We start from the raw sequence: 16,348 nt of genomic DNA on the forward strand, positions 1-16,348 counted from the left end.
GCATTTACTGCCTCAAGAGAAAGCTCAGGCCAAGGATAACACATTAGGCTGCTAAAAAATGACTCAAGGAGTTACTTAGGGGCAGGGGACAGGAACACTAGTGACAGTCATTTGAAAACTGTGCTTTCTCAGACATCGTCATCTTCTCGAAGGGGCTTAGGTCTGACTTGAGGGAATTTACAGCATTCACTATGCCAATATTTCACTGCAAATGGAAGAATCTAGTAAACACTCAGGTTGCTATGGAGGAGACTTTACAGCCTGCTGATAGCATTTGGGACAGGAAAAAAATGGCAGTGAGGGTTGCTGCTCTAAGAAAGGTCTGTGGGGAGCTCTAAACGCTTCCTGGTTCCTGTCACTATCCTTGATATAAATTCTGATTACATACAAAGCCTGCAACCCAGAGATCCCTGGGAGCTGGTGAGCAGGGCTGTATAAGAAATAATAGTTCTGTCTTGGCTTTTTCCAGGGCTTGTCTCCCCTTCCATAGTAAGCTCCTAGGAATGCCAGACTCCAGAGATAACAGTGGACAGAAAGAGTTCCCATAGCGACAGGGCACTTTGCTGCACTAGAGTTTCCCCTGCCTTGTCTGTGTGAATGTAGCTGATTATCAGAGCAAACGTGGCTTCCTCTGAGTGCCCTGCCTCTGCCCCACCCCAGCAGGTCAAAGACAAAGTACTTGAAGTTGGAGTCAGAGCAGTCGCCCATGCGTGTGCAATCAGTGCTAATCTCCCTGTGCTTCTTTATCAACAGCAGCCAGCCGGGACAGCCAAGTGGTTCGGAGAGAAATTGCTAAAGCCCTTAGCAAAAGCTTTACGATGCACTCACTCACCATTCAGATGGAATCTCCAGTTGACCAGGACCCCGACTGCCTTTTCTGTGAAGACCCCTGTGACTAGCTCAGTCACACCGTCAGTTTCCCAAATTTGACAGGCCACCTTCAAACATGCTGCTATGCAGTTTCTGCATCATAGAAAATAAGGAACCAAAGGAAGAAATTCATGTCATGGTGCAATGCACATTTTATCTATTTATTTAGTTCCATTCACCATGAAGGAAGAGGCACTGAGATCCATCAATCAATTGGATTATATACTGATCAGTAGCTGTGTTCAATTGCAGGAATGTGTATATAGATTATTCCTGAGTGGAGCCGAAGTAACAGCTGTTTGTAACTATCGGCAATACCAAATTCATCTCCCTTCCAATAATGCATCTTGAGAACACATAGGTAAATTTGAACTCAGGAAAGTCTTACTAGAAATCAGTGGAAGGGACAAATAGTCACAAAATTTTACCAAAACATTAGAAACAAAAAATAAGGAGAGCCAAGTCAGGAATAAAAGTGACTCTGTATGCTAACGCCACATTAGAACTTGGTTCTCTCACCAAGCTGTAATGTGATTTTTTTTTCTACTCTGAATTGGAAATATGTATGAATATACAGAGAAGTGCTTACAACTAATTTTTATTTACTTGTCACATTTTGGCAATAAATCCCTCTTATTTCTAAATTCTAACTTGTTTATTTCAAAACTTTATATAATCACTGTTCAAAAGGAAATATTTTCACCTACCAGAGTGCTTAAACACTGGCACCAGCCAAAGAATGTGGTTGTAGAGACCCAGAAGTCTTCAAGAACAGCCGACAAAAACATTCGAGTTGACCCCACCAAGTTGTTGCCACAGATAATTTAGATATTTACCTGCAAGAAGGAATAAAGCAGATGCAACCAATTCATTCAGTCCACGAGCATGATGTGAGCACTGCTTTGTGCTAGACATTGGGCTTAGCATTGAAACTATAAAGAGGAATCAGACGCAGCAAGTGCTTCTGTGTTCTGGTAGCAACTCAACACTATCTGTGGAGAGTAAACTGAAGATGTGCAGGCCAACATTCTGGAAATCCTATGTCAATGGGTTTGGTTTGGAACCTGGACTTCTGCATTTTTAAAAGTTACCCAGAGATGCTTCTAAAGATGAGCCATAGTCTAGAAGATTGTCAACCACAGGAGTTCATTGAGTGGGACAGCTAGACACATACATTGGCAGCTACAATAGTATCATGAATTGCAATGATGTAGTGGGGTATAAAAGGAAAGCGATGGATATTGCCGGATGGGCATGGCCAGTGATGTTTCACGTCATTGAGGTGACAGCTCTGCTGGACTTTGAATTACATATGGAGGCTCTCCAGGAAGACGAAGAAGAGAAGGACATTCTAGGCAAAAAGAAGACTAGGCACAAGGCACACTTATGTTTGTCTGTTAGCTTTTAGTTGAAAAAGCAAAATACATGATGCAAAGAAACCTCTCCACGCTGTGATTTTTAAAACTACATACTTTTTGCAACTTTATGGTTATGAGTATTGTAGAGAACAGGAGATAGGTCTTAGATGATTTTTATGTTGTTGTCAGACTCTAGCAAGGTACTAGAAACCTAGCAGGCATTAATAATTGTTGAGGCAATGACTCTGAGGCTATATCTGGGCCTTGTCATTATTTATCATTTATATTTGTATTTTTTTCTGAAATTTGAGGGCCAAGAAAACATTGACTTTGACTGAGGAGGTCACATCTGTGCCATCTCTGCAAATCAATCAGCACCACTGAAATAACTACTTAGCATTCTGCTGAGCTTTCCCTGCTCAGTAGAGACAAATATACTCATCCCCCACCTCAGTGAGCTTGTTTAGGCAACCAGGATTAGAGCTGCTCAGGTTCCCAACGTCTCCTGCCACATCGGGTTCTCAAAATGGAAAGAATGGTTTATGCCAAATCACTTTTCCTGTCTGAAGGACCACTGAATGGTTTTGTTTTTCCATATTTTGCATAGGACGCCCTAAAGACTAGGTGACTTGGCAAACACACAAGTGTTAGTATAATTCTTTGCTTCTGCTTCTTTTTGAAAATCATGTTTAGATTTGATTTTAAGTCAGAAATTCACTGAATGTCAGGTAATCATTATGGAGGGAGATTTGTGTGTCAACCAAAGTAATTGTCCCATGGCCCCAGGGTATTTCTGTTGTTTCCCTGAAATTCTGCTTTTTTAGTCAGCTAGATTGAAAACTCTGAACAGTAGATGTTTATATGGCAAAATGCAAGACAATCTACAAGGGAGATTTTAAGGATTTTGAGATGAAAAAACAGATGCTACTCAGGGGCTTTATGAACCATCCATCAATTCTGAAGTTCTGACTCTCCCATTACCCTTTCCCTGGTGTGGTCAGAACTCCAGGTCACTGGAAGTTAGTGGAATCATGTAGTTGAATTCTTTACTTCAAGACATTGTATTCTCTCCAGCTATCAAAACATTAATGATCTTTTATGTCTTTTTTTTGTTATTGTTATACTTTAAGTTCTGGGGTACATGTGCGGAACATGTAGGTTTGTTACATAGGTATACATGTGCCATGGTGGTTTGCTGCACTCATCAACCTGTCATCTACATTCTTTTATGTCTGTCTTTCAAAGCAACACTCTGTTCTTCTGAGTAGTGAAATCAGGTCAACTTTACCACCAGCCTCCATTTTTAATATGCTTCACCATCATCCAGCACCTACTTAAGATTTATCTAGGGCTCTGTGGTGATGTTAGGACCCATAAAAGAAATTTATGCCTTCCATATGTTTGGTTACAGATGGGAAATGGGAATGTTGAAGGACATGAAAGAAAGGATGTTTACACATTAAGCATCAGTTCTGAAGCTAGATTGTCTGAGTTTGAATCTTAGCTCTTCCCTTTATTAGCTCTGTGACCTCGAGCTAGTTACTTAAATGCTCTGATCCTCTATTTCCTGATCAGTGAAACCTCCCTATTCAAATGTGTGAGAGTTTAATAAATTAGGACACTTAAAAATGTTGGAGCAGTGCATAGCATGTAGTGTTCAGTACATGTTAAATGTTGTTTTTTATTATGTACAAACATGAGTGGGCACAGAATTTTAAATCATCTCAACTTTTGAGAAATTTTGAGTTATCAACACCGTTCCCACAAGACAGTGGCAAAATTATTGGTGAGAATTAAACAGCTGTTTCTCAGAGGAAGCAATGGAGGCTTGCTGGGATAAAGGCATTTACTGAGAGGCTGTTACCTAGTGAGAGTGATGAATTAATTAAAATAGTCGAATCCCTTTCTGACTGTCTCTGAAAGCTTCCGCTTTTATCTTTGAAGAGCAGAATTGTCACTCCAAGGACATTTATTAATAAAAAGAACAACTGTCCAGTGCAATGAAGGCAAAGTCATAGGTCTCCCAAGTCTTACCCCATTCCTGTGAAATATCAAGTTCTTGGCTTTTCTCTGTCATGTAGCCTCAACTTTCTCTGACCGGGTGCATTTCTTTCTCTGGTTTCTAAATTGCCAGTGGCAAATTTGGATCACTTACTTAATATCTGTTAAATTTTGTGACCCAACAAAGTCTTTTAGCACTGTGGTGTCAAAAAGAAAAACACCTCCCAGGCATATACATTTTATAGATTCCTGGAGAATGTTGCTCTCCAGCTCCATCCCCACCCAATGAAATATGATCCAGAGAGTCTTGCAAAGAGACAAGCCTCATTTTCCACAATTAGCTCTAAAGTGCCTCCAGGAAATGATTTTCTCAGCTCATCTCTCTGTATTCCCTGTTTTGGATCACAGGGCAATCTGTTTAAATGACTAATTACAGAAATCATTAAAGGCACCAAGCAAATGTCATCTCTGAATACACACATCCCAAGCTTTACAAATCCTGCCTGGCTTGACAGTGATGAGGCCACTTAACAGTCCAGCGCAGGCGGATGTTAAAAAAAATAAAAAGGTGACCATCTGCGGTTTAGTTTTTTAACTTTCTGATTTCACACTTAACGTCTGTCATTCTGTTACTGGGCACCTGTTTAAATTCTATTTTAAAATGTTAATGTGTGTTGTTTAAAATAAAATCAAGAAAGAGAGAGTTTGGGTTAAGTCATCATCTTTTTATCACCAAAATCATGGCAGGACATGTTTTTCATGACACCAGTGAGGACTGTAATGAGAATACACTCTTTCACTCTCAGTCATTTATTGGAAGAGATATAACTCATTTGGGGAACATACTTGTCTAAGAGAGATGGAAGATAATGTGTTAGAATCAGGGGTGCTTTTGAAATCATTCTGGTCATGGGCATAAAACCCCAGTGGAGGAAGAAGATGGTGGTCAGAGGTGGTAGGAGCCCTTGACGGTTGTAAAAAAGGAACTTGTGCTTCTTCAACCATAAAGCCAGGAAGTGATGAGAGATGTCAAGCTGAATTGCACCCCTTTCAGAAGTGTCAATCAAGTCCTGGAGACAATGTATCATTATAATTGCCCTATATTTCCTTTCTTCAAAGGGGTACCCATTTGTTAAAAACACGATTATCCTATTTACAGCCATTAAAACCCTATGGTTGTTATACACAGTCCAATAGTACTATCAAACATTATTTCCCTGAATCTGTAGAGTTTAGGAGTGTTTTGGGGTGCTGCAGAAGAAGAAAGGGCACCAGCTGTACTGAAGATATTGTAAACCATGGTGAGTTAACCTGTATAATGGAATTAGGATCAGATGCAAATTTAGGGTCTCCTTTGAAGTTAAACTGCATTCTTCAAATGGGAATCAGTAGAGATTTAATGAACTAATGCCCTGGTTCGTTTCTAACTCCTCCTCCATTTTTATAGCGATGAATAGGGGATTTTATTGGGCATATATGTGGGATTGATGAACAAGAATTTCTGTCATGGCCTTATTCTCCACTCCAAAATTGCCTCTGACATGGCAAAAGTCCATGGTCGGGAAAATAAGAATACCCTGTGCTGGCATTTCTTTACAGTAATACTTTCTATGAATAATTAATGGCCCAGAAAGATGAAGGCTTTTTTTTCTGGTTTCCACCTACTCATAAAGTTCAGCACCTTATTTCAACTTGGATGGGGAAAGGACAGTAGATTTCCCTGGCTCAATAAGCTCTGAATTCATAAACAAGAAGCAGGTTCCCTTTCCATTCAATCTCCAATCCTTTATAAAGATAAAGCTGTGGAGATGGTCTTTCAGGATCTTAGATTAGGTAATTTTTCATGTTCTAATAATAAAGTTATGAGGGAAGCACTGTGATCAAACATAGCTGATGAGAATACACAATTATTTTTATTCTTTTTCTTATCCTCCTCCTTTTCCTTTCTCCTCCTCCTCCTACTCTTCCCCCTTCATCTTCGTAGCTCTTAAACACTGTAGACTTTACCACTTATCCTTCAACGACAGAATTCTTTTTGCCTGAGAATAAACATTTGCACAATACTAGAGATATTACAATATATAGATTTTGGGGAAAAAAACCCTCAAATCCTATACCCTGAGACTTTTGTTAATTCAATTAATGTATTCATCAATCAACTGCAAGTCAAAACAACATCAGGGAGTACAATATTGCTTTAGATACATTTGTATTTGTCCAGAATATTTTATTAATATTTGGGATTAAAACACTACTGAATTGCTAAACCCTAAGGGTCCTGAAAAATTCAATACTGATACGGTAGGCATCAACTTTAGGAAGTCAACATACCTGCATTGCTTCTCCCTTGAAAAATATATTTCATTAAGGTACTGTTCATGTGTTGTCAAATCATGGAATAATTTACATTTCCTGATGAAATTTTCCTGTTTATTCCAGAACTTGGTAGGTATTTCACTTTACTTTCCTTCTCTCATTACTGAGATGTCAGTTTCTGCATTGTACAATGGTAAATATTGGGCAATGATGTGAATGTTGGTGTTAGGCTTGGACTGCTAGTGCTGGAATAGATCTCGGAAGTAGAGCCAAGAAAGATTAGAGGGGAGGATGCCTATAAGATGGGGCAGGATTAGGAGTTTGGTATTAGGCAAGTTGAGTTATTAAACAAGCATGTAAAGATGTCAAATAGGCACTTGTTTATATAAGTGTGGGCTAGAGTTACAAAAACAGTATTTTCATCCCAGGAGAGAAGTCTGGGCTGCAGTTACAAAAGTCATTATCTTGTCAGGGCCACACAATTACACAGGTGTTAATAGTAATGAAGGCCCTCCCATCTTGTCATTGCACCATCTGGAACATTATTTAGCCTCTGAGGTAGTGGGGGAAGAGAGAGAAGAAGGGAAACCACATCTTAAATTTGTTACAGTCCCTTTTAAAATGGACGCTTTTCACTTCTGCTTGGAGTCCATTGGCCAAAATTAATCATATAGCCCTAACCTAACTGAAGGGAAGCTGGGAAATATAGAGAAACACATGGGTTCCTGATGGGTATTAACTGCCATCAACTCAGAGAGAGAGGAGAGAATTGCTGGAGTGGTGTACATGAGGAAGCAAGAAATGATGGAATCTAGTGCACAGGTCGTGTGCCTGGTTCTAGACGGGAGTATTTATATACAACACAGAGCTTTTACAGTAACAGAATTCTGCTGGTAGATGGCTAGGTACGATGGAGGCAATCTGGCATTTTCTTCTGATTGCTTCATTTTTCTAAGTGAAGTAGGAAGCAACGTTATCAACTGAGTGTGACAATGAAAGAGGAGGTATTAGTGACGTAAAACAAGAGGAGCAAGAGTGAAATCGTCATCTAGGAGAGTGGAGAGTGAAAAGGCCATGATGAAAGTAAGATTGCCTGGTTGTGCCAGTTATTAAGCTGTTGTCTCTCAGCCCCCAACTCTCTCCAATATTCTTGGCATCATGATGCTGGGGGCAGGGACTGTGTTAACTACATTTCTCCTTTGCTGGCTGCCCCTTGTTAGGAGGCCCTAGAGGGAGATGAGAAGCCTAGAGGGAGGAAAAGGGGACTTTCTTCTTGTTTTGTTTCCTGCTTGATCCTCTCTCAAACAGTGTCAACCCAGTAATACTTCTTCACCCTGGCAGCAGCACTTCATTCTCTTTTCCTGCAGTATTTCCAGTTTGCAGTTTACCCCAAACTCAAAGAACCAGCCTCATCACATCCCCTCAGAGAAAAGTACCAAGTTACTGTACTCTTTCCTTAGAGGTCTAGATCCCAGCTCCACTGTAGCTTCCCCCAGGCTAAGATATCAGCATTAATTAATCAGTGTCTCGTCCTCAGAGGACAGTGTTTTAGCTTGGGGTTTACTCCTCCAAGCTTCTGGGTTCTATTAATTCCCTAAGCCCTAGGAGGGTTAACTGCTTTATGCAATTCTACTTCTGTTATTTTTTATTCTCTTTTTGCTTTCCACTTCTTCAATATCTGGCTAAATTTTACATATAAAATAATATAAAATAATTGTTGTGATCTCATTGGACCATGTTTGATACAGTGGCTGGCTGAGCACCAGCAACCTAGTCAACCTATCTGTCTCAGTTTTTTACCCAGTGAAGGAATGAAAACTACCCATTTTAGAGTAGTTGTGAGGATTAAATGAGAAGCTGCATGTAAAACACTTAATGCAATTCACTGCTCATAGTAAGTTCTCAATAAATTCTAGTTATCATTTTTTGAGAATCCACTCAGATGGCCCTTAGTCCAGAAAGCTTTTCCTAATATTCTACCCGATGCCAATCATTCCATCTTCAGTGCTGCCTTTCAAGCAATCACCTTTTTGTGTTCTTGCTTTTGTCACTTTGTGTCTTGTCTGTTGTGTTTTTCTATGTTCCCCTCCTTAAAGTATTTCTATTTATCTCTGAATAATAACACCTAGCACCGGTCCCAGCACAGAGTAGTATTATTACATTATCTGCAGGAACACACCTTCATCTAGCAGACCTCAATAGATATCAGTAAGATAATGAAGCATTTTAATTCTTTCAGATGTTTCATTTTAAACACCAGACATCTGTGTCTAACCTCTAGCCTTATATTCACTCAGCCTCTGCTTCTAATCCAGTACATCTTCTTTCTAGCTGCATGGTTTTGGCCACATTGTGAAGCAGGATTCAGTTTCCTTACAATAAAATGGGGAAAACGACACCTATATCACAAGGTTGTTGTAATCATTAGATAACTAATGTGCTTCTCTCAGCACAATGGCTGGTATATAATGTGAACTGAGAGCATTAAAATTTCTTTTTCTCTGAACTAAATCCCTGCTTTTAAAACCTCACTGATGGTGTCATAGAAGGCATGTGTTCTTTACTTAAAAAGAAAGATTGATGGACTATTTGAAGAACCAAGTGATCAAAATATGCCATAAAAATTGTTCTGGGGTATATCAAAGGACCTTTAAAATTAGATTCATTTTATTGGATATACAACTATTTTAAGGAATTGGTAGAAATAAGTAGGAGGTGAAAAGATAGAAGGTAAAAAGGAGTTTTTGGTTTTTTTTAAAAAAGCAGGTAGGTGGAACAGTTATAATGCAAATGTGTAGGGTCTGGCAATATTTAGAAGGTGTTAATAATAAATCACCTTCAGAGATCATACTTAAAAAGTGGGTGAAGGATATATACAGACACTTCTCAAAAGAAGACATTTATGCAGCCAACAGACACATGAAAAAATGCTCATCATCACTGGCCATCAGAGAAATGCAAATCAAAACCACAATGAGATACCATCTCACACCAGTTAGAATGGTGATCATTAAAAAATCAGGAAACAACAGGTGTTGGAGAGGATGTGGAGAAATAGGAACACTTTTACACTGTTGGTGGGACTGTAAACTAGTTCAACCATTGTGGAAGTCGATGTGGTGATTCCTCAGGGATCTACAACTAGAAATACCATTTGACCCAGCCATCCCATTACTGGGTATATAACCAAAGGATTATAAATCATGCTGCTATAAAGACACATGCACACGTATGTTTACTGCGGCACTATTCACAATAGCAAAGACTTGGAACCAACCCAAGTGTCCAACAATGATAGACTGGATTAAGAAAATGTGGCACATATACACCATGGAATACTATGCAGCCATAAAAAATGATGAGTTCATGTCCTTTGTAGGGACATGGATGAAGCTGGAAACCACCATTCTCAGCAAACTATCGCAAGGACAAAAAACCAAACACCGCATATTCTCACTCATAGGTGGGAATTGCACAATGAGAACACATGGACACAGGAAGGGGAACATCACACACCGGGGACTGTTGTGGGGTGGGGGGACGGGGGAGGGATAGCATTAGGAGATATACCTAAAGCTAAATGATGAGTTAATGGGTACAGTACACCAACATGGCACATGTATACATATGTAACAAACCTGCACGTTGTGCACATGTATCCTAAAACTTGTATAATAATAATAATAATCAGTCAAACAAACAAACAAACAAACAAAAAGAAGTGCTTAGTGTGGTACTTGGTATGGTAGGGCATTATACCAGATAGTGAGCTAAGCATAAATTTCTTCCCTATCACTCACAGAAATAGAATAGATAGGGGGAATGGGGACATGAGAAGGAGAGTGAGGTGGGGTGAAGGGTCAGGAGTTGGGGGTAAAGAAATAAAATTGATTCACAAGTTACTTGGATGAAAGATATTAAAATAATGTGATGAAAGTGAAATAATATATGGTTGTTTCTTTCTGTAGCTGGAAAAGTCAAGTAGAAATTGTGGTATTTGAAATATTGATGCCAATGGAAGCAGAATTTAACTCTCCCCAAAACTACCTTTGCTTTTTCTTTCATTTTTTTATTTAATTAGCATTTAATGGGTGACTATTTTGTGCCAGGCCTTGTGGTGAACATGGGGATCCTGGTGATAATGACACATTATAGTGGGAGATATGGACAAAAAACAAAGACCAAAATAAGACATTTTCAGATAGTGATAGGTAGTAAGACAGAAATAAAACCAATGGATATGGTAATAATTAGGAGAGGGCTACAGCGAGGCAGCTATATCTACATGACCTTTATGAAGAGGTGACATTTGGGCTGAGCCAGCCATGCAAAGTGGAGGAGGAAAAGGAAAGATAGCTTGGACAGAGGCCCCAGGTAGGAAGAACCTGGCAGCCTTGAGAAAAAGAAAGGAAGCAGATGTACTGAGTGTAGTGAACAAGGCTGGGGGAAGAGGGGTGATCTGGGCTGGACTGGGCAAAAGCCCTGTAGGCCATGAGAAGGAGCTAGAATTTTATGGTAAGTACAAAGCTCTCAACTGAATGGAAGAAGAACCACAGAAAGCTTGCATGCTGCAATTCTTTAGTTAGGTTTGTATTATTTTGGCAAAATACATTTTCTACCAAATTTGTCAAAGATGTACCAAGTACCCCAAAATCCCTTGTAAAGAAGTGTTTCACATATTTATTTATTTGTTATTTAATATATATTATCCACATACACACACTGCAAAGCACTAAACAGGGAAATATAACCCACAGTCAGTACAGGAGAATCATCAGGTGGAGAGGTGGGAGGCTGGAGAATTAGTCCATCCCATCTCCATGCTCTTGAGACACATCTCTTCCTGGGAGTCTTTCTGCTATCTGCTATCACCAACATGTAAATAAGATTATAATAAATTAGAACCATATATATATATATATATATATATATATTTTTTTTTTAGACATGGCTTCCTTCTCTGGGTCTGCATGAGCTGTCCCTTTTCTTCATGCGGCCACCAAGAGATAGCCATGGCACCCAGACAGTCTCCACTATTGATCTCCAGGCCCATATCCTATCTACACCTGTCTTGGAACAAACTTGGCCTTCTTCCACAGAAGGCATTTCAAATATTGATGTATTTGGTACTTGGTATTGACCAAGTACTTAGGTGAAACGCTTATTTACAAAACTTGTTTTTTAAAAAATTAAATTCTGAAAATATATATAACACACAGGTTTAGGAACTAGATTTCTCAGTATGGAGCCACCTGGCCTGATTTTATTCTGTAGTCTCACCTATTACCAGTTTTCCCAAATATCCTATAATGTAACAGTCTGAGCTGCTCATCTTTTCACAAGTAGGCTGTATTTGTTCATGACTCTGTGCCTGTGCTCATTTTCCCTTACTTAAATACCCTCCCTTCTCTTCCTTTCTCTTCTCTGCCTTGAAACTGTTACTTATCCTTTAAAGCCCTGCCAAAGATCAACCCTTTCTGAAGCTTCACTGACTTCCACTCTCGGAAAAGTTTATTCTTCTCTCTTCTTTGCTTATTGAACACTTTGTAGGGACTTATCACATTACACAAAAATATTTACAATTTTTGACTTCTCCAAGTAGACTTTAAATTCTACAAAAACAGTGATCTTTATCTTATTTAATGTTTTCTCTTCCTCCACAACCCATTATGTTGCCTACTATCTAAGTAATCACTGGACAATTAATTGAATAAATAATTATGCAATATGTCAACTTTTAAAATTAGGAGTGGATTCAGTGATCCCGGATTAGCCCTTAAGGAAGTGAAGCATCAGGAGCAGCTGAGAATATGTAATAGGGAGTGTAGCAGGATAGGTGTCAACATGGCCAATTCTGTCACTGTAAATTGCTCACAACTGACTCTAGGAGCTCTGCTTCCCCATGGATATAACAGGAATAAGAATCCTGATCCTTCTTACTTCCTTCAATTGTTACGGAGATCAAATGAGATACCATAGGCAAAAGCCCTTTGTGAACTATCATATAATCAACAGTTAGTATCATTATTAACTAAAATGATTTCTGTGGCAATATATTGTAGATATTTTACAATATATTTACCTCTTTTCATGGGACTACAGATATTCCTCCTTTCCTCCTCTCCTCTCCAACTTCCAACATGTCTAGAACACACACATTCATATCTACATTGACTATTTGCTTGTCTGGTTGTGCAGAATTGCTTATTGAGGCCTTCCTGTAATACTACCCGATCATGAAGTTTGGAAATAAATACCAGTGGAGCTAAAGTTGCAAATAAAAACCCATGGAAGCTGAGGAATGGTTCTTTTGGTTGTACTGTCTGTAGCAGACAATGGACCAAGCACCTTCCATGTGCCTGTCACTGTATCTGGGGAAGTAAAGATAATTCCATGAAAAATGAGGCAGAGGGTCTGATCTGAAATTTCCCTCAGCATTGTAGGTGAAATGGGTCAAATTTATAAGATAGGGTTTTAAAAAGAAGGTCTTGCTTAATTCTCTGTGGGAAAGTGGATACCCTTAGACTTTCCTGAATACCATTTGTCTGGGCTGAAGCAAGTAATGAAGTAAAGAAAGCAATTACAGGGTGCATTTTGTGACTTAGAACTGAACCCTGTCACTAATCAACCTGTTGGAGGAGACAGCTTCTGTACTAATGTTATGTCCAGAATTCAGAACACCCTTGGCCTTGAAGCAATTTTTGGAAGGTTAGGAGGTCAAGGACTGGGCAATTCTAGAAGCAATGCTTGGCCCTTTTTCTAAAAAGAAAGGGAATTTGGCATTTTTTCCGGTAGAATTATTACTGGACTGGCAAGGCCTTAAGTCCCCAACTGTGTTCAGGGCTCTTAAAGTGAGGGTTTGGCAGTGGTGTTTATTCAAATTAGGGTTTTACTTTAAGGGGAAGGTCTCTGTTTTCCAGGGGATCAACCTAGCCGACAGAAGTGAGATGAGGCAGAAGAAAAGAGCAGCTTGATTGATGTGGGTGCCTATACATCACATGCCTCTTTAGGAGAAATTAGCATCTTAGATGGGAGGGCTTGGAGAATGTTAATGTTAAGTTGATTAGAAGCCAAATAACTTAGTTTAGTCAGAGGCCCCACAGATTTCCTGGGAGCCCTGGTTGCACTGGTCCAGATGGTCTTTTTTGGCTGTGCTGTTCTCAGCCACACATCCAGCCAGCTCCAGGTTTCCTTCTCCACTCAGAGTGGGAGAGGCTGCCCCTACCTCCTGTGTTACCACAAATGCTGCATTCTCTCAGTGCTCAGTGAATACTAAATAATCAAAATGGCAATAAATCCTGAGCTTGGCACATCCCTTTAGAAGTCTTGGACAGGAGACGGGTAATGCTTAACTGGCTGTTGGAGGGAAAAATAGGGTCAACCTTTTCTCATTATAAATGATAATTATAATTGCAATATAAACATAATATCAATAATAATGATAGCAGTGCTTGGCAAGATGTCAGGCACTGGGCTGAGAAATTAAATTCATAACTTATTTAACCCTCAGTAAAACAATGATGTATGTATGATAACCTTCATGTTACAGATGGAAAATAGTTCAGAGAGTTTAAGTGACTTGCCCAAATCTAATACACAGTAGAACTAAGATTCAAATTCTGATTTGTGTCGTTCCAAATCATGTGCTCTAGAACTTTATTCTATACTCCTCCTCTAGTCTATTTTCTATTGTGGCTACATGAATATATGAATAACTTTGGATGGCAAGACTGGGCCTTCAACTTCCTCATTTGGCACCAAAGGGCAAAATTTCTAAGAAGTAGTAGAAGGTGAGGTGAAGACTTGTGGCTGGAGTGAACAGACTAATAATAAAGGGAAAATCACACTATGCTTTTTGCATTCTGTCTCTTAAACCCACTACCCCAAGGCATAGTGCATTTTGCCTCATCAGAGAAAGACAATTATACTACTAATAATGGTGATTATAATGGCCACAAAACTTCAGAGAAAATGTTCCCAGTTGTTGAATAATAATAAAAATATTACCAAGATTTGTTAGCTATAGAATTGTAAATGCAGCCCCCATATATGATGACCTGGAAGCATCAAATGGCTTAAGAAACTTACTGGCATTAAATGTGCCCCAATTTATTCTACTTAAATGAGAATCTAGGATTTGTGCATGCCCTTAGCTATTGTTGAAATAGAAACTGAAATGGCTTTATTTGAGAATGTCAACATCTTTCACATTCTCTTTTTGGTTATCAGGAAAAACAAGTAGACTAGGAAAATTAAAACATTTATGCTCTATTTTCAGTCACTCTAGGAGATGGATGTAATATTGATTCCAGTATATGCATAAGGCTTTCACCATTAGCTAGTATTGAGCAGAAGATGCATGTGAAAAAATGAAGCATAGAGAGAGGACCAGTAGGACACAAAAAGCAGATCTAAGACTTGTACTTGTAGCCAAAATGGAGTAACAGAGACTTACCTTCATGTCGAACAAATAAAACGTGGACAAAATCAATGAAGGGATGGCCCTCAAGACATTGAATGTCAGTCAATGAAGGACAGTTATTTCCAGGAGTCAGGTAACAAAATAGTGAGCCCAATAATTTCCCTAGTTTATTGTGTTGAAAAAGTGTCCAGACTGTGTCACAGGGCAGGGAACTGCAGACAGTCTGGCAGTCTTCCTGAGTGGGAGAGATAGAGCTAAGAGTCTGAGGATGCCCGAGTGGGTAGAGTTCACAGGACATAGTACTAGAGGTGAGAGAGATATACAGAGAGAGAGAGAGAGAGAGAGAGAGAGAGAGAGAGCCAGAGATCTTCAGGAAGACTTCCTCAAGTCCTCAGCTGAGGAGTGATCAGTGTCTGTCAGTGGGAACACTAATTAAGTCTGGAAAGGACCGACTGAAAGAATAAAAGGGAATCATTCATAACTCAAACAAGGCTGAAATAGTGCCTGTTCCCAACACTCAGATTGGAAAACTTCATAAGTTAGGAGGCTTTAGTTAGAGTAGTAAAAATGGGTCTTTATTCAATAGCAAAGAAAATCAACCCTAGACTAAATAGTGCTCAGCTAAACAAAGCTAAAAAATAAGGCCCAAAAGGATGAAATTCTTTTAAAGTAGCCTAATTAGTAAAGGAGATTAAAACAGCTATTATGAGTGTATTCCATAAACTTGAGGAGCTAGATTGGGCATGAAAAGCAGAAACAAGAAAGATTTATAAAAAGACGAAAATCAAACTTGTAGAGATGAAAACCATGTCTAAAATGAAAAATACATTGGATGAGATTATCAGCTGAACAGACATTGCAAATAAAAAGTGGTGTATTTGAAGATATAGCAATAGAAACTATCTAAAATGAAACAGAGAGAAAAAACACTGGAAAAAAAAGAAATTGAGCACTATTACACTGTAGGGCAACCTTAAGTGGTCAAATGTGTGTGTAACTGGAGCCCTTAAAGGAGATAATTGGGGTGATGAGGCACACGGAATGTTTGTGAACATACCAGCCAAAAAATTTTTCAAACAATGAACCCCCAGGTCCAAGAAGCTCAACAAATGCCAATCACAAAATATGAAGAAAACTATAAGAAAACTTATCACTATCAAATTGTTTAACCCAATGATAAAGAAAAAAAAATCTTAAAAGTATCAAGAGAAAATATGCATTGCCCAAAGAGGAACAAAAACAAGAGTAATATTATATTTCTCATTTGAAACAATGCAAGCTAGAAAACATTAGGAAAACATTTTTAATGTAATGAAAAAAAGTTTTGTCAGCCTATACTTCTTTACCCAGTGATAATATCTTTTTAAAAAGACAAAATAAA

The 16,348-nt window shown here is 38.9% G+C and overlaps 1 protein-coding gene and 1 long non-coding RNA gene across 11 annotated transcripts in view; one reads left to right on the forward strand and one right to left on the reverse strand.

The window, feature by feature from the left end:
• Positions 1-4,932, forward strand: part of SLC30A8 (solute carrier family 30 member 8) — a 226,498-nt gene extending 221,566 nt beyond the window's left edge. For all 6 annotated transcript variants that reach the window (NM_001172811.2, NM_001172813.2, NM_001172815.3 and 3 more), the window contains one exon: positions 754-4,932. In NM_001172811.2, coding sequence (NP_001166282.1) covers positions 754-899 — 146 coding nt within the window. In that variant the 3' untranslated portion in view covers positions 900-4,932. The remainder of the gene's footprint in view (positions 1-753) is intronic.
• Positions 1-16,348, reverse strand: part of LOC105375716 (uncharacterized) — a 436,284-nt gene that overhangs the window by 87,346 nt on the left and 332,590 nt on the right. For all 5 annotated transcript variants that reach the window (XR_007061067.1, XR_928569.3, XR_007061068.1 and 2 more), the window contains 2 exons: positions 1,578-1,706; positions 833-963 (listed from right to left, as the gene is read on the reverse strand). This is a non-coding gene — a long non-coding RNA (uncharacterized LOC105375716). The remainder of the gene's footprint in view (positions 1-832; positions 964-1,577; positions 1,707-16,348) is intronic.

Source organism: Homo sapiens, chromosome 8 (assembly GCF_000001405.40).
Source record: "Homo sapiens chromosome 8, GRCh38.p14 Primary Assembly".
Lineage (NCBI taxonomy): Eukaryota > Metazoa > Chordata > Mammalia > Primates > Hominidae > Homo > Homo sapiens.